The sequence below is a fragment of the Homo sapiens genome, chromosome 13, assembly GCF_000001405.40.
Source record: "Homo sapiens chromosome 13, GRCh38.p14 Primary Assembly".
Classification (NCBI taxonomy): domain Eukaryota; kingdom Metazoa; phylum Chordata; class Mammalia; order Primates; family Hominidae; genus Homo; species Homo sapiens.
In genome coordinates this window covers 40,466,811-40,489,362 of record NC_000013.11, presented here as the reverse complement: position 1 = coordinate 40,489,362, position 22,552 = coordinate 40,466,811, and the positions used below count along the sequence as shown (strand labels likewise).

At 48.0% G+C, this 22,552-nt stretch overlaps 1 long non-coding RNA gene across 3 annotated transcripts in view; it reads left to right on the top strand.

Annotated features, from left to right (window-relative positions):
* The first annotated feature begins 8,358 nt into the window (after positions 1-8,358).
* Positions 8,359-22,552, top strand: part of LINC00598 (long intergenic non-protein coding RNA 598) — a 133,873-nt gene continuing 119,679 nt past the window's right edge. For all 3 annotated transcript variants that reach the window (NR_024506.2, NR_024507.3, NR_024505.2), the window contains exons 1-3: positions 8,359-8,454; positions 15,268-15,369; positions 19,201-19,367. This is a non-coding gene — a long non-coding RNA (long intergenic non-protein coding RNA 598, transcript variant TTL-B1). The remainder of the gene's footprint in view (positions 8,455-15,267; positions 15,370-19,200; positions 19,368-22,552) is intronic.

Here is a 22,552-nt window from a genome sequence, read left to right as displayed (position 1 = left end):
GTGGAGGAGGAAGTCGCGGTTCCACGATGGGGGAGGAGAAGAAGAGGCAGCTTTTGAAGGAGCTCCATCGCCCACCCCCAGCATCGACCCCCGACGGGGCCCCTGTGCCTCTCTTAGGGGTGGATTGTGGAGAGGAGAGAGGCGGCTGGTTCAGTTTGGGATCCCCGATACTCTAGGACAGCCCCCATCTTCCCTCGCTTCCGTGAACACAGCTCCCAAGGCGGTCTCTGCATTTGGCCACAGCGTTGCGTCTTCTAAGCTGCTGCGCCCTCTGGGAGCCGGTGGTGTTCAGTCCCACAGTGGCCAGACTGTCCTCCGTGGAGGGAGGTGAGACAAGACAGTAGGTGTTTTTGTGACCCCTGGTGCAGTGAGAGGCACCTTTCTTCTGACACAACCTGCCCGCAAGAGCCCTCACGTGGCAACTTGCCTTCCCCTTGAGGCGCCCCGGGCCACTTGTGTGCTGGGCCCCTCCCCTGTGTTAGCAGAGAAATCTCTAGTCCTTGTGGGCCGCTCACCGTGGCTCACGCCTGTAATTCCAGCACTTTGGGAGGCCGAGGCGAGTGGATCACCTGAGGTCAGGAGTTTGAGAGCAGCCTGGCCAACATGGTGAAACCCATCTCTACTAAAAATACAAAAATTGGCCAGGCGTGGTGGTGCGCACCTGTAGTCCCAGCTACTCGGGAGTCTGAGGCAGGAGAACAGCGTGAACCCGGGAGGCGGAGCTTGCAGTGAGCCGAGAACGCGCCACTGCACTCCAGCCTGGGTGACAGAGCCAGACTCCGTCTCAAAAAAAAAAAAAAAAAAAGAAAGAAATCTCTAGTCCTTGACTTGCAAAGCTTCTGTCCAGAACTGCTGGGGTTCACAACCCATGTGTCCATTAACTAGCTAGGGGATCTTGGGTACATTCCTTCATGGCTGGGTGTCTTGTTTTTAATCCACAAAATGGGAGAATAATGATATCAGTCTTGCTAGGAGGATCAAATGAGTTAAGACAGTCAAAGCACTTCAAACAGAGCTACGTTAGCTATTATGAGTATTATTGTTAACTTTAGTGTGCTGTGAGAGGGTGGACCCTGCCTGGGTTACAGGGCAGCAGGAAGCAATTTGGTTCAATTCTCTTGAATGTGGGAGAGCCAGGGGGTGGTGGGCACGCTTCTACTGCAATCTCCCTCCTTCCTTGAAAGATTTGTGTGGGTCAGTGGACAGGAAACAGATAATTCTAATAAAGGAATGGCCTCCTTGCTACTTTCTGAATAAATTCCAAATCCCTTAGCATGGCATTGAAGGCCTGCCCGGGATCTGGCCTGGACTCATCGCAATAGCTCTGGCGCACGCAGTGGGCATGGAATATGTATGTGTCTCCTGAGTATGGACCCGTGAAAGCCTTTTCTACCCTCCTCCCCCAGAGGCCACCAGCTCTGGTTTATTCTCACTGCTCCTAACACCTTGAAACTTCATGCCTCCATGCATTATTCTCTCCAAATTTCTCCTCCTAACAGGACCCATTTCCTAAGTTGCCTTTACCCTAAAGCCTTTTTTGGAGTCTTCCCCTCTTTCACCTTCAAATTAAATCACATCTTCTCTGTACTGCATTGTTTACCCCACTACCAAAGAAGTTCGAGCCTGGGCACGAGGGCTCACACCTATAATCCCAGCACTTTGGGAGGCTGAAGTGGGAGGATCATTCGAGGCCAGGAGTTTGAGACCAGCTTAGCAACACAGCCCGACCTTGTCTCTACAAAAAATAATAAAAAATAAATTAGCTGGGTGTGGTGGCGGGCACCTGTAGTCCCAGCTACTCAGGAGGCTGAGGTGGGAGGATCACTTTAGCGCAGGAGTCGAGGCTGCAGTGAGCTATGATGGCGTCACTGCACTCCAGTCTGGGTGACAGAGGGAGACCCTGTCTCAAATAAATGAATAAATAAATAAATAGATAAATTTTAAAAAAGAAGTTTGCGTGTGCGTATGTGTGCGTTCATGCATTTGGATGCATCCCAGCCACCTGTCTTTCTCCCAGCCCATCTGCCAAACAGCGCTAGAGGGATAATTCTAAAAGCACCAGTTGAGCCCTCCCCTCTGTGTTTTAACTGGCTGCTGTAATTAATGCCAGCACGTGACATTTGTTATTTTACATAACCCTCACGATCTATGAGGTGGGTATTATTATGCCCATTTTACAGATGAGAGGATGGAGGTTTAGAAAGATTCAGTATTTCTCCCAAGATTGCACCATTAGTACAAGCAGGGATTCCATTTGAGTGTGGCTGACCTCCCAAATCAAGGCCTCTGACCCTTAGCTATACAGCCTGTACTGCACTCCACGGGTCAAAAACCCAAAATGAGAAACAGCCACGCTCCTCAGCAGACGCTGAAGCCTCGGACCTGGTTTCCAGCACTGCCCTATGTGCATCATGGTCCAGCCTCATGGGTCCGTGTGTGTTACCTAGCCAGCCCATCTCTCTGGGCCTGGGCCATGGAGTTTCCTACTGCCTCTGCCTGGAATGTCCAGCTGCCCAACCACTGTGAAAACAGTGAGTTGGGTCAAGTGTTAGCTCCTTTGGGAAGCCTGCTCTGCCTCTCCCTCTCTAATCTTCGGGAATAATTAGGGGCTCCCTTCCTGTGCCCCCTCCGGTCTTCCCCAGCCCTTCCTGCGGGCAGCTGTGTGCTCACATGCCATTCCAACCCCTGGACAGTCTGTCCCCAGAGGTCGTGGGCTTTGCTGTGTTTGTCCTTGTATCTTCGAGCCTGGCTTTGGCCCTGACCACACATGTGTGGCACTGTAAATGCTGCTGAAGTAATAGAGAGTTGGGTAAATGACGATCGCTTTTCTGCCTTGCTGGCTGCAAATCCCACCTTCACAGAGCAGGCCCAGAACATTCCCATGGTGCTGGGCCACCAGGGAGCCGTTTGGGGAAACCAAGCTAATATTCTTCTAATGTTTAGGAAAAATAGGCGGTTTCACTGCAGGTTTCATCGCAGGTCACCTGACTGGCCTCGAGGGCAGTTCAAGTCTCTACTTAAACACCTGAGAATGGATGCTGGGCCACTCCCTGGGGATCATTTTGCCCCATGCAGTAATTCTACCAATCTGGGTAGCAGAAAGGTTAAGTGACTTGCTCAAGGACCCACAGAACTAAGGGAGAGAGCTTGGGATGGGAAGCAGTGGCCTCTGTGCTTTCTGCTCTGGGACCCATTTCTCAGCCCTTGGGAGGGCCCACTGAGGGTGGGGTGCGGTTTGGGCTGGCTTTGAAATCCTTGGGATCGTCTGGCGAAGTTGAGAACAGGGCAGCAGCCTTGCTTCAGAAGTCTTGGGGCTGCTCTGGGTACCTGAGCTGCTGCCCCGGCAGCAGGAAGTAATACTTTTAGAGCTTTAGCCCCAAAACCTCAGAAACTTTTTGATGATGCATTAAATGTCAAGTATATTGTTGAGAGGTGAAAAAAAAAAAAACCCAGGTATCAGCCTTTGTTACTGAGATGACAGGAGATAGTAATATTACAGGAAGTCATACTGTCAAAATAATAGAGAGGGTAGTGTCTAGGGGGCCACACCTTATAATAACTGTACTTAGTACAAAGGAGATTTCGTGTGCACCTCCGCATCTGTGCACTCTGAGGTGGAGCCCGGAGAGGAGGTGTAGAGAGAAGAAGGTGGAGTCTGCTCTGCGGGTATCTTTGCTTTGACATACAAAGCAGAGTTTAACTCAAAGACTGCTTTGTCTGGGGACAGACTACTCAGGCTTCAGGCCAATTACCATGAAAATTCACGTTAAAAAAAAATGCGTAATTGAAGCAAAAGGATTTTTAAATCTTTTTTTTTTTTTTTGCCTAAATGATTTGTCTACTTAGATGATAATTTCCAGATAATTGCAGCATTTTGGAACTGGAAGGGACTCTAAGGGGTCATTTTTCCCCACTGATGAGGGCTTCACAGCCTGCAGATGGACTTGGTTCAGGTCCTCAGCTAGGTGATGGCTCAGCAAGTCTGGCCCCTAGGCACCCTGGCCCCATGCCTGCCACTTCCTGCGGCCACACCCTGCCCACCCTCCCATCTCCTTTCCAAATGAGGTAACTCCCTGGGCAAGCCTTCTGTTCTGTAGGACAAGTTATCTAGCCTAGCCCCTGGCATGGTATAAGTCCTGGACACATGTTTGCTGAGAGAATAAACATGAGTTGGGCAGGAACTGGGCCAGGCTCCTCCACATGTTGTATGTGAAGCCTGTAGGTAGAGCTGGTTCACAGCCTGGCTGTTTAAACATGCAGGGACTTAGGCTGCAAGCGGGTGTGGACCGCATGGTGTGTTTGGAAGCAAAGCAACATTCACACGCTGTAGCGAAAGACATCTCCCTTCCGACTCCAGACGGGAGCTATTCTCTCCCTTATTTCTGTCTCTAGACCTGACCCTCCTTCAAGCCTATCTCTCCAGCTGCCTGCCTGGCACCTCCACTAGGATGTGCAGCTGGCATCTCACACTTGACATGGCCAAACCAGTCTTCTTCCATCTTCTGCTCGGTTACAGCATTTATCTACTCATTAAATCTAAAGAGTCGCCCTTAGTTCTTCTGTTTCCCACTCCTCCAAGCACACTCAATCTACCAGCAAGTCCCATTGGCTTTGCAGTAAAGAATATACGTCAGATTGGGCCACTTGTCAACCCTCTACCTCTACTCCCCTCATTCAAGCCACCACCGTCTCCCTGAGCTCTGGGTCCCGCAGCTACTCCTATTCCGGGCAGACCCATGCTTGCTCCCATCCCTGGTCTTGGCGCCACTGTGCCATCTTCCTGCACGCGCCTCCTGCCTCTCGGATGGCTGCCTCCTCCTTGGCATCAGCCTCCTCTTGGCTCGGACATGACCCATTACAGAGGTCCTCCCCGACTCCCATCTGAGAAAGTCCCCCTGCTCCCCATTACTCATCACTTTACTGTTTTGGTTTTGTGTTCAGGACACTTATTACCATCAAACACTCTCTTACTTACTGATTTGTCTGCTGTCACCTCCCCATGCTAAAGGGTTAATCTCCAGGAGGGCAGGGACTGTGTCAGCCTCACGGCAGGAGCTCAGTCAGTGCTGCCTGCAGTGAGCAACACACTGGCATCTACACAAGTCTCTGCCCCCTCTTCCTCTCTGTCATTCGCCTGTATATGCCAAACAGCTGCTGAAAAGCCAGAAGAGGAGTTCAAGGACACTCACACAATCTTTGAAAAGACATGGGTTTTATTTCCTCTCCTTACCACCATGGCAGTGCGAGGGGCAGCGTTTCTGCTCTGCGCACCTCCATGGAGGCACGCACACAACCTTGCTGTGGTCAGCACACCCTCATCCTCACTCCGCTAGTGAGAAGACCCAAAGCTCTGCAGGGCTCGGGAGCACAGGTGTGTAGGCAGGATCCGTGCCGCGGCTCTTGCTAGCTCTGCTGCGAAGTGGTCCCACGAGGACAGTCATTCATTCATCATAGGGAGACTAGGAAAGGCTTGCAGCTTGGTTCTCCCATCTGCCTGGGTGCTCAGTGCTTACTGGCAGGGCCGCTGCGGCCTGGGCGTGTGGCTTTCTTGCCTGACTGCACATGCGTCTGCCAGTGGCTCTCGAGCACCCATAGAGAGCTTCCTTGTCCAGGCTTCTTGCCAGGACCCAGGGCTGGGGACAAATGTGCAAATGACAGGGACCAGCTCTGTAAGGAAGCAACAACTGCCCACATCTCCATCTGCTTCACCTGATGCTCGCCATCGTCTCTGGGTAATCCTGCCCCAACTATGCTGGCTACGGTTGCAGATAAATGTTTCCCATCTCACATGGATTGAGAGCTTGCTGTGTACCACCGATTCTGTGTTTTATGTTCCCTTACGGTTTAATCCTTGCAAACAATCCTATGAAGACAGCCTTTCAAACCTCGTTTTTAGAGTGCAGGAACTGAATGAAACTCAGAGAAATTAAGTGGCCCACATCTAGTAAGTGGCAGTCCAGGAGTCAGCTGGAAGTCTTCCAAACCCAAACTCATATTCTCATATTCTCATAGTCCATGACCTGGACCCACAGTGACCATCTGTCCCAAGTTGCCCAGGATGTGGGAATTTTACTGCTAAAACTAGAAGAGTCCCAGACAACCTAGGATGGTTGGTGGCTTCACCTGTGCAGGTGAGGAGGTGATCATAGTCGGTCCAGTTGAGTTTAGGCCTAATCTAGGTTTCTGATAAAAGGAAAATATATCCTTTTTCTTCCCCATTTCCTTCTTTGGCCTTTTGCTAGTCAGCTTTTAAGATGCATGTGTTCATCTTTTGTCATTGTTCCTAAATGACACGTATTATTAAACACCAATATTTGAAGTTTGGTAGGAGCTGGCCCTTGACTCCAAGCTTGTTTGGGTTGGGACATTACTTTTTAATGATAGGTAGGTGACATGGTTTGGCTCTCTGTCTCCACCCAAATCATGTGAAATTGTAATTCCCACTGTTGGGGGAGGGGCCTGGTGGGAGGTGATAGGATCATGGTGGGAGATATCCCCCTTGCTGTTCTTGTGACAGTGAGTTCTCATGAGATCTGGTATTTTAAAAGCATGTAGCACTCCCCCCTTCTCTCGCTCCCTCCTGCTGCCATGTGAAGACGTGCCTGCTTCTCCTTTGCCTGTCACCAGGATTGTAAGTTTCCTAAGGCCTCCCCAGCCACGCCTCCTGTACAGCCTGTGGACCTGTGAGCCAATTAAACCTCTTTTCTTTCTAAATTACCCAGTCTCAGGTTGTTCTTTATAGCAGTGTGAGAAGGGACAAAAAAGTAGGAGTTTTGGGTTTACTTTATATTCACCTTCTTCCATTTTTAAGTTGTGCCTTTGTTGTCCTTCATGAGATAATTTAGCAAGTCTTGGTCAACTTGGAAGTGATTCTACACAGGTTGTGCAGATTGTGGGGTCAATGTTCACAGCAGGACAGCCTGAGGAGGAGCCTATGGGGAGCCTTGTCTGAGGGTGGACCTGCTGAGGCTGGTGGAAAGCCGGTGTCCTCCTTTCCTGGGGATGAGGGACCAACTCCAGGGCTCCCTGATGTCCGCTTTGATGACTTCACATACAACGTGTGGCTCTAGTGACTCCACAACCACTAAGCCGTTTCACCAACAATGCCCAGACGGACCATTCTTAGCCATTCCCCCCTACTGTCTCTTGTCTCTGTTTCTCCCTCTTCTCTTACCTCCCACAAAATAGCCTTTGCCATCTTAGTTTCTCCCGAGGCTAATTTCACCGAACTTTTTGCTGGCCAGTGAGAATTAACTTCAGTTAATCAGTTAAAGAGATTATTCAGCTAAAAGGTAAACAGGGGAGGGTATTTCTAGTTAATTAGTGAGAAAGAAGTTAAAAAGTTTAAAGGACTCCTTGATTTGTAGTATGTTGTAACTGGGGAGCTGGAATCGGTGTTACTTCTGTAGGTGCTGACACAAAATCAGTGGGGGTGAGGCCGAGGTACCTGGATTGTCAGTGGCCTCCCACACCGCCCTGTGATTCTGATGCACCCCAAAGTCTGAGAACTGTTGCCCTGACCCAATTACTCCCACAGCCCCAGAGCACGGCAGGGGTCCTTGTACAGGGCCCTAGTTCCCTTGCAATCTCTTTGCCTTTTAGTTTTAAAACTAGCTATTCATCGCTGGTTAGTTAACTGTTATGCATTTCTACAGGACTGCATTGTTAGGAGCCTCGACTTGGCTTCTCCACAACCACATTCAACATTGGCCTTCCAAACCCACTCCACTCCTGTGCTGTCTATTGCAGGCCTGTGCCCTCACCATGCGCCCGGTCCGGTCTGGAAACCCGAGTCTCTGTGTTTCCGTCCCCTCTGGCTTGGTCCTCAAGCCTCTGCATCTTCCCTGGGTCATTCAAGTCTTCCAGGTGATGCCTATATTGTTAGTCTCTACAGTCTGGCCTTACAGCATCGTCAGAGCTGCCCTAAGGCCCAGGTGGAGTTGTGGGTCCTCTCTCCGCTGCCTCCCTGAGTTCTGACTCTTGGTGTGTTCAGGGACTTCCTGCCTCCGCACCTCCCACCCCATGCTTTGGCCACAGCACAGACTCTTCTGATTCCGTAGCTATGCTTCTGCTTTTCCCTCCACCTGGCTGCTCTGGTCATAGAAATTCTACCCCTCACTTAAGAACACCCCCAGAAGTCACCTCTGTGAAGCCTTCTTTGGTTCTTCTAAAATAAGTGAGTTGCTCCATCCTCTGTGTCTGCCAGCACTTTCTCTGCTCCTCTGGACTTCATTGGTCGGGGGTGGGGGGTGCTACTGTTGGTCTTGCAGCCACCCTGGATTGTGACCTCGCAGAGGTCAAGGGCTGTGCTGACGCCCCCCATGTCTGCGTGTTGACAGCAGACTTACTGGGGACACGCTGTAGAGCTCCGATGATGGCTGTTGGCCGAATGGATGAATGGCTTCATTAACTTCACTGCAACACGCAGGAGTCCTTGATCTCCCCCCTTGAAAGGTATTGGGGGTTTCCCTAGACACTGCCACTTCAAAGCCATACAGAAAAAATTAGAGCTAAAAGAGGCAACATTGTTTATTTCTCAAGAAGATGCTTTGGTGTTCCTTCCTGCAGCTGTGAGAGGCCTCCTGTTTGACCTTGACGTTTCCCTGTCAGGCTACACAGCGGTTAAAGGCAGGGCCCCGGAGGGTGTGCCACGGTGCCCAGAGAGGGAGGGGTAGTGGGCGCTGCCCTCCAGACTGCGTCCCCAGTCTGGGAGAAAGGGGCACTCGTCCTGACTGGATTGCCCAGACGGGCACCCCTTTCCTAACTTGCCTGCCCAGAAAGACATGTGTAATTCCTCCACCCGGAGGGAATGATTTCTGCTAACTCACAGAGAGGCTTTGACTTGTCACTCTGCCTTCTAGAAGTGACCACATGTTTTTTTTGCTCTCGGCAAGGGGGTGCCCTTGGCTGCTCTCCGGTGTGGGAGTCTTCCCCTTAATCCTTGCTCCTGGACGTTTGCATTTTCACAACGACCCTTTGTGGCAGGTGGGTCCCTGCCTTCTTCAGATGACCTTGAATAACACTGTCCTCTGCACTTCTGGCCGCCACGGAAGAGGCATGACTGCTGTGAGTCTGGGGCCTTGGAACCATTTTAGACCAAGGCAGGAAAAATAAACAGATGGGCGAGGTAGGTGGCTGCCCTTGAATTCTCACTCTCATTATGCACCCATTACTGGTGGCCAGTTGAGTAAGCATTTAGGACTTGGCTTTGCCATTTGTCAGCTGATTAAACAATAGAGCTTTACTGAGCAGCTCCCATGGGCTCGTGTCACTATACCTATTTTACAGAGGGAGAAACTGAGTTTCAACAAAGAAATTGCACCGAACCCAGAACTAAACAGGACCGGGCTGCCAGAGGGTGCTTTTCTGTGCTGAATCATGGGACCTTCTTGCTGACCAGAGCAGAGAAGAAAAGTCTCCTGTGGTCGGTGGAGTTTTTACTTTTTGGATTTTCTCCCCTATGACTGATCTCAGTCCTTGCCTGGCCACTCCTGCCTGTCCTACAAACACCGAAAACCACTGTCCTTTTCTCAGCCGTCATTTAGCAGTCGGGAAGCGTGTGTCCTGACGTATGGGCTGCAGTCAAGGCGGGGGCCCTGACAAACAGGATTCATTCACCAGGCCCTGGCCTGCCAGCTCCCTCACGGGCGTCACATGGGGCCGAATGAAAAGAGCAGGGGGTGCCCGCCAGGGAGGCCTATCCAGGGGCTTTCTTCCCCGCGGCGCCGTTCCCTGGGCCTGCCAAGTCCCACGAGCCAGCACACTGGAGAAGCGTTTTCAAAGCGAGGCCTTTGCCCTCCTTGACAGGCTCCTCAAAGCCTGCCTCGCTCTGGCAGTGCCTGGGAGATCCTGTGAAAGGCGCTTTTTGTTCACCCTCCTCATTGGGGACATCTTTGGGGAGCCACTGCTTGAGAAGCACAGTGTGAGCTGGAGGACACTTGAGGCAGGGCCACTTCGGTGGGCAGCGGGAGGAGCAGAGTCCGGGGAGCCGGGCAGGCAGGGAAGGCGCTGGAAAACGCGGAGACTGCTCCTGGGAAGCGTACATTTCATAACTGAGAAACACTGCCCAGAAGTTTCTTTTAGAAGTGGGAGGCAAAGAGCGCTTAACCTTTATTTTTATTTTTATTTCTTTAGTTGCACGGCTGTGTTTGGTGTACAAATAACACCTGGGGTCTGTGGTGATGGGTCCTTAGGAATAGAGAGAAAGAGAAATGGCCTTGGAATTTAGTGGCCTGAAGACATAGTTTAAAAATTCATTTCCGGACCTCAACCTACGGCCTTTGACAGAAAGATGGGTTTGTTGTCTGCTGTGAAATAAAAGCCATCTGAGGCTTGTGGGAGCATGATGAGCACCAGAGTCCGGCTTAGAAATCACGCTGATGGCCCAGAAAACTCAGCCAACCACAGATACCATTGCTGCTTCTAGAAGCCCAGGACACTGGCACTGTGAGGCAATGCTGGAGATTCGTCCTATCCCTGGTCTCTTGCAAACATTTTAAATTGAAACCTTTAATAGTCAGCATGAGAGCACTCGGATTCAATTATATTCATCTCTGAAGATGTCCTGATATCGCCTACTTGTTTATAAAAATTAATCATAAAATATTGAACTAGTGGAGGGTTTGTATGTTTTCTATAAAGTCTAAAAAATGAATTCCATTTGGATCCAGTGAAAGGTGAATTAACGAATTATTCCCTCAGTAGGACAAGAATGTTGAAGAAAAAAACTGAATGATTTTTCTTTTGAACAATTCTTAGCCAATACAAACAAAAAAAATCAACAAACGAAAGCAAGCCAAACAACCAAACACCTCTCCAGTATTGCGTTTAGACCAGTTTGTACAAAGTTGGTACTGGTTTTATGACCTAACTTTTTCCCCCACTGTTTAAATAGATTTGGACATTATCTTTCAAATATGCCATTTCCAAGGAAGGTCTGAGTGGGCTTGCTTTTGCAGTGCATTTACAAAGCAAGCTATCGAACTGGCTCACAAGCCAAACAGAGGCCCCTGAAAAGACAATATCCCTTCCTTCCTGAGGCAGATATTTCAGGATTGGGGAAGCAGAGTTTCCTGTGTTCTCACAAGGGGCTGAGATAAAGAAACCCAGGGCAGTTTTGGAAAGAATTCAGCCTGCCACAAGCACGAGGCTGTTGTTTTTGTGTGCAGGGCCCCATTTCACAATGAGAGGCCTGCCTGGCCAGAGTGACCGTGGGGACAGGACGTGATGTGGACAGGGCTTTGGAGCTGGAAGAGTCCTCTCAAAGTGTGATGTTGAGAAGCAGTGATGCAGAGGACTCCCTGGAATGGTCAGCACTTCTCTCCCTCGTCCCACCTCTTGCGCCAACCCACCCACCATCCTCACCTTTGATTATCCACACACGTGTGTCTTACTGCTCCTCTTCCGTACCATGAGAGCGTCAGAAATCTTAGTGCCCTCTGCGAATGTTTATTTAGTTTCCATTATGTTTTCCCCTTGTTTCTATGATCAACAAAAGGCAAAACAGAGAAGTAGGTATTCGCCTTCAATGTATTTCCCCATCTGTCATCCGATTTCCTTTTTTATGTTTTCTCCACCCCCAGCCTATTTACTGTCCTGCATCCTGTAGGAGCCTCTACTGCAATGAATGAAAGTAATCTGACAGCCTGGGCAACATGTGAAAACCCGTCTCTACCAAAAAATACAAAAAATTAGCAGGGCATGGTGGCACGCGCCTGTAGTCCCAGCTACTCAGGAAGCTGAGCTGGGGGGATCCCTTGAACCCGGCAGGGAGGCAGAGGCTGCAGTGAGCTGAGATGGCACCACTGCACTCCAGCCTGGGCGACAGAGTGAGACTCTGTCTCAAAAAAAAAAGTAACTTGAGTATTTAATTCATGCAGAGATATTGATGTACGATAACTGTAGCCTCTAGCCAGAGTTTTATTGCATTTAAAAGAAGTCCATGAAAGAAAAAAAAATTTTACCAAATGTAAAAGTAATAACAATAATGATAATAATACAGCCATAAGGAAGAAAAAAAATTCAACAACATAATAACAAGTGTCTGTTGATAGGGATTAAGGCGTAGGTGGAAAGGAAATGGGAGGAAATAGAAAATCATTAATTTTCTCACCTTTTGTATTTGGGAGATAATAGATACTATTTGATTTCTGATTAATTGATAATAGAAAATTAAGCATCTTATTTAAAATCGAGGAGGTAACCACTATTAGGACTAAAATTCAGATTACACAGAAAACAGAGGAAACAATAAATAAAAGAAATTATTTAAGATGATAGAATTGTGACAAATGTATTATAATAATAAATGTAATGAGATCAACTCATTTATTAAAATAAATAAACTCACAAAAATGGGTAAAAAAATCTAAATACAACATTGTACTGTCTTTAAAAAAGTAACTGAAGCCAAGTGACTCAGAATCGGAGATAGTGCTTCAACTCCCAGAAATATCCCTCTAACAGTGGAATTCCAGGCACTGTGGCATTTGGGAGGGGTAGATATTTTTGGACTAAGCTTTCCTAGCCTCTAAAATCAGACCATATGGTTGCCAGCTCATAAGACCAACCCTGTGTGCCTCAGTGTTTGTTCTAGATTGCTGAGCTTCCAAAGGGCAGGGGCTGTGCCTGCTTTGTTTAATTCCAGGCATTTCAGAGAAGTTCCATGTGCAGACACGTGTTTTGGTGTGGAAGAGTTAGAGAAGGGCAGGATTAGGGACATTTGTGCTTCCCAGTCCGTTAGGTGGAGTGTCTCTGGTAGAGAAGCCTCTCAGGAAGTTATGGTGGCTACTCAGGGCCTCGAGTGTGCTGTTTGATGTCTCCAAGCATTTGCATTCAATGGATCAGCACTTGATTTATCAGGGTTCACCTATGGGTTATGGTTTCTGAGAGGCAGAATCAAACAGACCTGGGTTAGAATACCAGCTCTTCCACTTACCAGCTGTATGATCTTGGGAGAATTACTTAAACTCTGTGGCCCTCAGTCAACTCATCTGTACTATGCTTCATTCATTCATTCATTCATTCATTCATAATTCAATAATTACTCATTGAAATCTTACTATGTGGTGGTCTCTATTCTGGATTCTGGATATTCAAAATCTCTGCTTTCAAGGAGCTTATATTCTAATGGACTAAGGCAGAAAATAAATAAAAACAACAACAATCAACAAATACATTCATAATATACCACACGAGATAAATGATATTAAAAAAGGCCAAGTGGGGTGACAGAATAGATTGATGGTGGGATGTGTGAGTTGTGTGTGTGAGTATGGTGAGGGTGTGTGAGTGTGTGTGTGCACATCCCAGTTGCTACTGTAGATAGGGTGGTCAAGGAGAGTCTGCCTGAATGAACTGAATGAGCTGTCTGGAGACTTGAGAAAGGACTCTTCCTTGCAGAAGGAACACCAAGTATGAAGGCTTTGTGGCAGCAGAGAAGAGGCTGCAGTGCAGTGAGCTGGGAGGGCAGCAGGATTCGAGGGCAGAGCTATCTGAGAGCTACACAGAGTATTCCAGGCCATGGTTAAGGACTTTGGATTCTTCCTGGAGGTAGCTCAGAAACCACTGGAGGAGTTTGAGCAGAGCAGGGATGTGATCTGCATTATATTTAAAAAGGATGACGCTGGCTTCTGAGTTGAGAATAGACTGACTCTGCAGACATGGCAGCCACAAGATGAGTTAGGACAGATGACGGAGTCTGGACCAGAATGTTGCAGAGGAGGTGACAAAATGGTTGACTGTGGATCAGGTTTTTTTTTTTTTTTTTTTTTTTTTCTGGAGACGGAGTCTCGCTCTGTTGACCAGGCTGGAGTGCAGTGACACAATCTTGGCTCAGTGTAACCTCTGCCTCCCAGGTTCAAGTGATTTTCCTGCCTCAGCCTCCCTAGTAGCTGGGATTACAGGCGCCCGCCACCACGCCCAGCTAATTTTTGTATTTTTAGTACAGACAGGGTTTCACCATGTTGGCCAGGCTGGTCTCGAACTCCTGACCTCAGGTGATCTGACCACCTCGGCCTCCCAAACTGCTGGGATTACGGGCACGAGCCACTGTGCTCGGCTGGATTGGTTTTAAAGACAGAGTTGACCAGATTTCTGGGTTGGATATAGGATGAGAAAGAAAGGAAGGAATCAAGGATGATGCAAGTTTTTTGGTCTGAGCTACTGCAAGAATGGAACTGCTGTAGACTGAGCTGGGGAAGACATGGATGGAAGGGTGGTAGCAAAAGTTCCATTTTGACCACATGAAATGCCTGTTAGATAGAGAAATGGAGACGTTAAGTTGGAAGTTGGAACTAAAAGATTGGGATTCAGGGAGTGAAGTCAGGAAGGAGATATAAATTTGGACAAAGCAATTACAACCTTTTTAGACTGGACAGCATTGCATATGGGGTGCCTGTGGATAGAGAAGAGACCTGAGCCTGGGTCCTGCCAACATTTGGGGGTCAGGGAGATGAAGAGGAGCTAGCACAAGAGTAAACAGCCAGTTGGGTGGGAGGAAGAACAAGGAAGGTGGTATTTGGGAAGCCAAGTGATGAAAGAGTTTAAGGAGGATGGAGTCTTCAGCTGTGCTAAGGGTTGTTGGTGGTCAAATGAAGTGAGGGCCATGGAATAAAATAACATTTGTAAAGCACTTAGCACACAAAGCAAATGCCCAACAAATGGTAGCACTAGTAAAGGCTGGTCAGTACTTAAAGTTCCATAGTTAGAGATGCCTTCATTTGGGTGAAGATGCCCGGGAGGGATCCTCGTTCTGATGAGGGGTAGGGTGAGAGATGAATACACTGTATGTGAATAGGGACAAAGATTCTCTGCTTGGCCAAGCTGTAGTCCAACTCCTCAACGTTTTCCTAGGCCATCTGTGCACTTCCTTGTAAAATCCGTTTTAACAAAGAGCCCTAATCAGTGAGTTTATCAAGAGCTCCCATCCTCCATATCTGTTCACCCTTGTATCTAATCAGGCTCATCATCTTCCTCCATCCCTAGGTGATGTCTGGTCACCCTGGGCTATATTCAGGAAGAATCCTGTTAGGTCGGTTTAGCCACAGTCCCCCTTATCCCTGATGTTTCCTCTTAGTAATTTTCCATTCATCGACCCCCACTCTGCTCCTTGGCTGTAAATTCCCATTTGTCCATGCTGTATTTGGAGTTGAGCCTAAGTTCTCCCCCACCACCAGGCCCCACTGCAGTGGTCCTCATACCTATCATGATGGTTCTGATAATGTCTGCCTTATCATGCTCTTTTTTTTTTTTTTCTCTGTGGCCCAGGCTGGAGCACAGTGGCATGATCTCGGCTAACTGCAACCTCTGCCTGCCTCCCAGGTTCAAGCAATTCTCCTGCCTCAGCCTCCCAAGTAGCTGGGATTACAGGTACCCACCACTACTCCCGTCTGATTTTTATTAGAGACAGGGTTTCGCCATGTTGGCCAGGCTGGTCTCGAACTCCTGACTTCAGGCGTTCTGCCCGCCTTGGCCTCCCAAAGTGCTGGGATTACAGGTGTGGGCCACTGTGCCCGGGCCTGCCTTACCATGCTTTAACAAGTACCATTGAATCATTTTTCTTTAACAGTAGTAAGAGAGATTACCACAGAAGAGAGAAGGAGCATAGGAAGTGGGGAAGGTTCCTGAAGTAAGTTTCTGTGTTATAGCTTCCCTGAGCCCTGCTGCTGGTGTTACAGTCCACACTGAAATATGTTAATCAAACCCCAATTGTTTGCTCATCTTTGTACACCTGTATACTGTCTGGGTCCTCTCTCGAAGGTTCTGTACCTGTACTAGATTTGACAGAGCCTTTTAGGTGTCCTGGGCTCGCACAGTAAGCCAGCACATCTGACTGCCCTGTGTCCTGATTGAGCTTCAGTGTGATCACAAACATTGACCTTAAGGACATTCTTCTGGATGGATCAAGACATTCTTTTCTGAGCTGGGATACAGCTCAAAACAGGTCTTGAGGAAGGCCCTGACTGCTGATCACAGGAGTAAGCAAGATGCAGGCAGGCAGGCACAGCGGTGATGAGCATGGTCAGATTGCCTGGGCTCAGATTCGGGTTCTGCCATTTGCTACCCAGGTGGCCTTGGGTGAGTTACTTACCCTTTCTGTGTCTCAGTTTCCTCATTTGAAAAGCAGGGATGATGATAGAATTTAGCTCACAGGGTTGCTGTCCTAATATATGGAAATCACTTAGGATAGTCTCTATGTACAGTAAGTGCTCCACACATAGTAGCTGCAATTTTAATCCGGCATGAGGTTTCTTATCAGGTAGTATAGCCTCCCAGGTACTGTGATTGGGAAATTTTGAAGGCACAGTCCTCACATTGATTGTTTAAATCATCACTGAAGTTAATCTTTAATGAGAGGAGGTAGCGGGGAAGGTGACCCTCTGGTGGGGGATTCAGGCATCTAGGTACTTTTCAAATTAATCTAGATGGCTACGATTCTCTCTCTCTGCCTCTTCAGGCTCATCATTGGTCAAGCTCTTCTGCTTTTGCAGAGCAGTACCAGTTGTTAAACCTGGAGCTTCAGGCTAGGAAAAGCTGTGGCAATCTTTGGGCTCAGCCATTTCACCCACAGGTGTCCTGGAAGCGTGGGGGCCACTCAGCCCGTGTGTCTCCAGGATGATGGTGGTGGAGCCACTGCTTTGGTGGAGTCACTGCTTCTCTCCCTCCCCCTGGGACTGTGGTCAACCACTGGGCCCCACCACCTCCCGCCTGGTGATTCAGAAGCACCAACCAACTGTACCCCAAGTGAGAGTGCAGCTCAGCTAAGTCCATCCTGGCTGTCAGTGGGCACGTGATGCTCACGTGCTCCCCCAACACTGCAACTTAAAGAGGCTGATGTTGCAGATTTTGGGGAAATAAAAGGTGTCATTGGGTTGGCAGCATGGAGTGTTGGTTAAGCACTCTGGAGCCAAAGGCCCTGGGTTGAAATGCTGCCTGTCACTTTCTAGCTAGATCACATTGGATATATTACATTACTTCAGCGGTCCCCAGTCTTTCTGGCACCAGGGACTGGTTTTATAGAAGACAATTTTTCCATAGACTGGGGTTGGGGTGGCAGTGGGGGGATGGTTTTGGGATGAAACTGTTTTACCTCAGATCGTCAGGCATTAGATTCTCATAAGGAGCGTGAAACCTAGATCCCTCCCACGCACAGTTCACAATAGGATTTTGCGCGCCTATGAGAATCAAATGCCGCTGCTGATCTGACAGAAGGCGGAGCTCAGGTGGTCACGCTCTCACACTTCCTGCTGTGCGGCCCATTCCTAACAGGCCACATACTGGTACCTGGCCACAGCCTGGGGGGTTGGGGACCCTGTATTACTTAATTCCTTTGAGTCTCTGATATTTAAAAGGTGTAATGGAACCAGTCACTGTGTTAACCTTCCTGAGCAATTCAGGGATAGAAGGCATACGTGCTTGTGTGGTGTGCAGCAAAGTGCTGGCACTCAGCAGATGCTCAATGAATGTTCATTCGCTGGTGGCAAAATAGTGGGGTGGGTGCTGTGTGTCCCTTGCCACCTGGATGGATAACACGCATCTCAACCTCCACGAGTGCAAAATACCTTTTGTATGGATCTTGACCCTGGCAGGGTCCTCTGTCTCCCTGTTTTTGGTCAATGGCATCCCCTCTGCCCAGGCCCCAGTCCCACATGGCTTCTTTGTTCCTCTTCCTCTCTCCCCCATATCCATTTGTTTAGCAGGTCGCACTGGTTCTACCCTGGTGGTCTTGCTCAAGTAGAGCCCCAGGTGGGACTCCCACCGTTGCCACCCTAATCCACAGCTTCTTCACCTCCCACCTCGTTTCACCTAAAACACAGACAGACACAGACACATCCACCCAAACCCCTCACCTGGAGTGTCAAGCCCCCAGCCCTCATCTCATGCCCTCTGGCTTCATTCCCTCCCTCTGCTTGAGCTCCTCTGGCCTTGCTGTTCTAGAGTGTCATGCTTTCCTGGCTCAGGGTGTTCACTCTTTTGGTTTCCTCCATTTGGAATATCTTGTCTCCACATCCTGTCGTGACCAGCTCCATCTGGTTTTGCAGCAGAGAGATGGAGTAATGGAGTAAGATCACACTGACCCCCCTGAGCCGTTTGGAATGGCTTCAGGCCACCTGGCCCTCCCTCTCTTCTCCCACCACTTTAGGGCCTGTGAGAGAAATTGGAGGGAATGCTTAGGCACGTGTGGCTTGGTCCTAATCCTCACGTTTCATTTGCCCCCCAATTCTAAGACCAAGAATTTTGACTTGATCGGAATTGAGTTGGGAGAGTTGGTGTATCACACAGACTTCCAAGTATGATTTTAGTAAAGGGGAAGTTTTCTCTTCGGGGCAGCTACATCTTGGCTTTGGGTTGTTGGTGCTGCTGAGTTCTGAGTTGGAGTGAATTTTTTGTGAGCTAAATATGGTCTTGTGACCAACTCTCCTTTCATCCAAGGCGAGGAGGGTTTATGCCAGTGAGCAGGCCACGGATTCAGTTCTATTTGGAAAGCTAGTTCACGATCCTCACATATGAAGTCACAGTTGGCCTCTGGTTCAGAATAGCTCCTCTGACAACAACCTTCCTTCCTGGATTTCAGAAAGATGTGGAATAGTTCCTGAAGGCTGGATGGCTCCCTTGACACATCTAGCCTCATGCTCAAAATTTCTTTCTTCAGTAGAGCTAAAAATGGAGCTTTTTGCTTGACAGATGTGAGGCCCAGTGAAGTGGATTGACCTGGCCAAGGTCATGTGGTTGATCAGCACTGATGCTGGGTTCTCCATCTCCATTCTTTCAGCTGGGCTCGGCTTCACAGTCACCTGCCTTCCTTGGGCTTTGGTCTATAGCATGTCCATCTACTGTGAGAGCTCAGCTGTCTGAAGGAACAGGGCCCAGCCCATCTGGGACCCCCACGGGCCTCCGTTAGGGCATGGGGAGCTGGAAGCACAACATGGGGTGAGGAAGAAAAGGGAGAGAGAAAGAGGAAGGAAGGAGAGCACCAGAAGGGGAGAGATGGGAGAAAGATGCTAGAAGAGAAGGGCTGTGGGGGTAGAGGCAGGAGTGGGGACACAGACGGAGGTCTGGGGAGATCGGGGCTCGAATGTGCCCTTGAATGGCAAACACTTTGGCAGGAGTCTAGCTGGTGAAGATGGAAGATAGTAACTGCCTGCTCTCTTAGCATTTTGGACTAAGTTCTTCTACTCTCTTATCTTCTTAATTTCACAGCAAACAATGGACTATTGACTAAGCTTTCAGAGCTGTGGGTGTTCTCAGAGGGAGGCCAGCCAGAACACCAGCATCTCCGGCTTTTCTTCCAACTCCCAAGTTGGAGCTCCATCTATCAGAAATATGAAACCCTGGAATCTTCCTCCTCCTCACTTCTCTGCCTTAAGGTGCGGGCAGCTGGGGAAGAGAACATTGTGCCCAGGGAGAGTATATTGTGTGAGTGTGTGCACTTATTCATGAGTGTGTGCATGTGTATGAGTGTGCACAAATGAGCGTATACATGCGTGTATGAGTACATGTGTGCATGCCTGGGAGTGTGTGTGCTGGCAGTGGTGGTGTGGTAGAGGGTGACAAGGTGCATCTATACCTGGCCAGTGATGTCAGCACTTCCCTTGTGCCCACCTTTCCTAGGGAGGGGCTGCACTGAATTGAAACAGTGCCAGCTGGGAAATGAGAAGGCTTATCAACAAGTCTTTCCTTGGAGGGGCAAGAAAGAGCTCGAGGGCCGGGCGTGGTGGCCACGCCTGTCATCCTAGCACTTTGGGAGGCCGAAGCTGGCCAATCGTTTGAGCTCAGGAGTTCGAGACCAGCCTGGGAAACATAGTGAGACCTCGTCTCTAAATAAAAAAAGAAAAAAGAAAAAGCTCCAGGGTCCTTTTCTTCCCTTGATGTTGGTTAGCTAAGAAACTACCCCCCAAAGTTCTCATGCCCCTGTGTCTACTTAGCAAAGACACGGACCTCGCCATTCTGGGGGACTCACCTCAAAGTCTGTATAGGTGTTACATCATGCTAATAGCAGCTGGCATCTTGCTAGGAACCTGCTGAGGAGTGGTGTCCTGAAGCACTTCAGAGAGGGACCTTGAGCCTTGGCTGGACAGCTCAGCTTTTTGCTAAAAATGGAGAAAACCTCAACTTGTTTTGAAATGTTTTGGGACTCATTTATAGAGTGGGCAAATAAGATGGGGAACTCCTGTCAAGTTCTCCTGAGTCAAGCACAGTGCCTGCCACATATAGGTGTTGTACATGTTGATGTCCTCCCTTCCCTTTCCACGGTAATCCTCTGCCTCCTCTAAGACGGTATACAGCAGAAGTCACTCGTGTGATGTGCAGATGATCTGGTGGAGTGTGGGGAGAAAGAAAATATTTCAACTTCTATTTGAACTTATTTTTTTATCTCATTATTTTCCAACTTGTACTGCATATTTTATGGTGTTCATAATATATAAGCACATGCATATACAATCTATAAATAATTATAAATAATATATGTGTATCTGTATATATTTTACACAAAACATTGAGGTTGAGCATGCACACATTTTTTTAATTGCTATAGAATGAAGAGCTGGAGAACTGTGTTCTCTTGTCCAGTTAGGGCAGCTACCTGGAAATCTTGGAGAAAGACATGAGACAGGTAAAGAGCTATGTTAGTCAGGATTCCCCAGAGAAACAGAACAAATAGGATGGATGGATAGATAGATAGATAGATAGATAGATAGATAGATAGATAGACAGACAGATAGATACAAATAGGATGGATGGATGATAGATGGATGGATGGATGGACAGATGGATGGACAGATGGATGGAGAGATGGATGGAGGGACGGATGCATGGATGGATAGATGGATGGATGGATAGATAGATAGATAGATAGATAGATAGATAGATAGATAGATGCAGAGATGGATGGATGGATGGATAGATAAATAGATGGATTTATCCTTGCCCTGCTCGATGGATTGATGGATGGATGGATAAATGGATGGATGGATGGATAGATAGTTGGATGGATGGATGAAGAGATGGATGGATGAATAGACAGATAGATTAGATAGATAGATAGATAGATAGATTATAGATAGATAGACAGATGCAGAGATAAATGGATAGATGGATGGATAAATGGATGGATGGATAGATGGATGAATGGATAAATGGATGAATGGATAAATGGATGGATGGATGGATGGATGGATGGATAAATAGATGACTAGATACATAGATAGATAGATGGATAGATAAATGGGAATTGGCTCATGTGATCATGGAGTCTGAGAGGACCCACCATTTGCCACTTGAAGGCCTGAGAGTGGGGGTGGTAGGATGATGGAGGTATGGGAGCGGGGGTGCTGATGGAAGTCCCTGAGTCTGAATGCTGGGGAATCAAGAGCTTTGATGTTGGGCCCTCAGCAGATTGGATGATGCCTGCCCACACTGGTGAGGGCAGATCTTCTTTACTCAGTTACTGATTCAAATTCTAATCTTGTCTGGAAACATCCTCACAGACACACCTAGAAATAATATTTTACCAGCTATCTGGGTATCCCTTAGACCAATGAAGTTGACACATAAAATTAACCATCACGAGAGCCTTTGTCGTCACTCTTCACACACAGACTTTTCCAAATATGCTAAGAAACTAGCTTGGACCAGGTTGCAACAGAACAGAGGAGAAAAACAAGGTTCATAGAAAATAAGTGACCTTCCTCATGTCTCCAGAAAATTCCAGAAAGGAAGCTGGGTAGGAGAAGCCTGCCAGGAATCTGGGCCTTCTCAGAATGTTTCCTCCTCTTTGCTGTCACTTCCGATGGATTCCTGTGCTCACAGCGTTGTTCTGCGCACCATGGGAGAGATGTGAAGGGAAGAGGGTCACGATCCTTGAAATATGATCTCTGCATACCCATTGCTGTGGAAGTTGTGAGGTGCAAATTGGCTCGATGAATGCTGCAGAGAGTAAGTGAAGGAATGATCAGAGGACCTACCTCCTTATCCTGCAGACTTGTTTTAAATGCTCCTAGAAGCTTAAAAGCTCATCAGATTAAGATGTTTCACCCTAACAGTGATGCCAATTATTGAGAATTAACTATACACTATACTTAATATTAAAAGTTGAGCATACACCATCTCTTTTATTCCTCACGATACTATAATGATGCATGTTTATTTTACACCGGAGGAAACAGGAACATAGAGAGGTGAAATCACTTGCTCCAGGCCACAGTACTAATAAATGACTGGATTCCAGTCCCATTCTGCCTTCAAAGGGCTGAGCAGTTTTCTCCACTGGTGTGGGGACTGTGGATAGTTTCCTTGTAATGAAAATGATTCAGGAGGCCAAATTCAAATAAGGAAAAAGTGCTTCGGGCAAAGTGAGCAGATTTCCTTTGGGTGTCTTCAGAAGGTAAATCTAGAACTGGTAAGTAGAGCTCATTGAAAGGCAGGACCTTCTCACCAGTGGGTGGCCTGACTGTGACGGGTTTAATAAATATTAACTGCGTTATGTTATGTTATGTTATGTTATGTTATGTTATGTTATGTTATGTTATGTTATGTTATGTTATGTTATTGA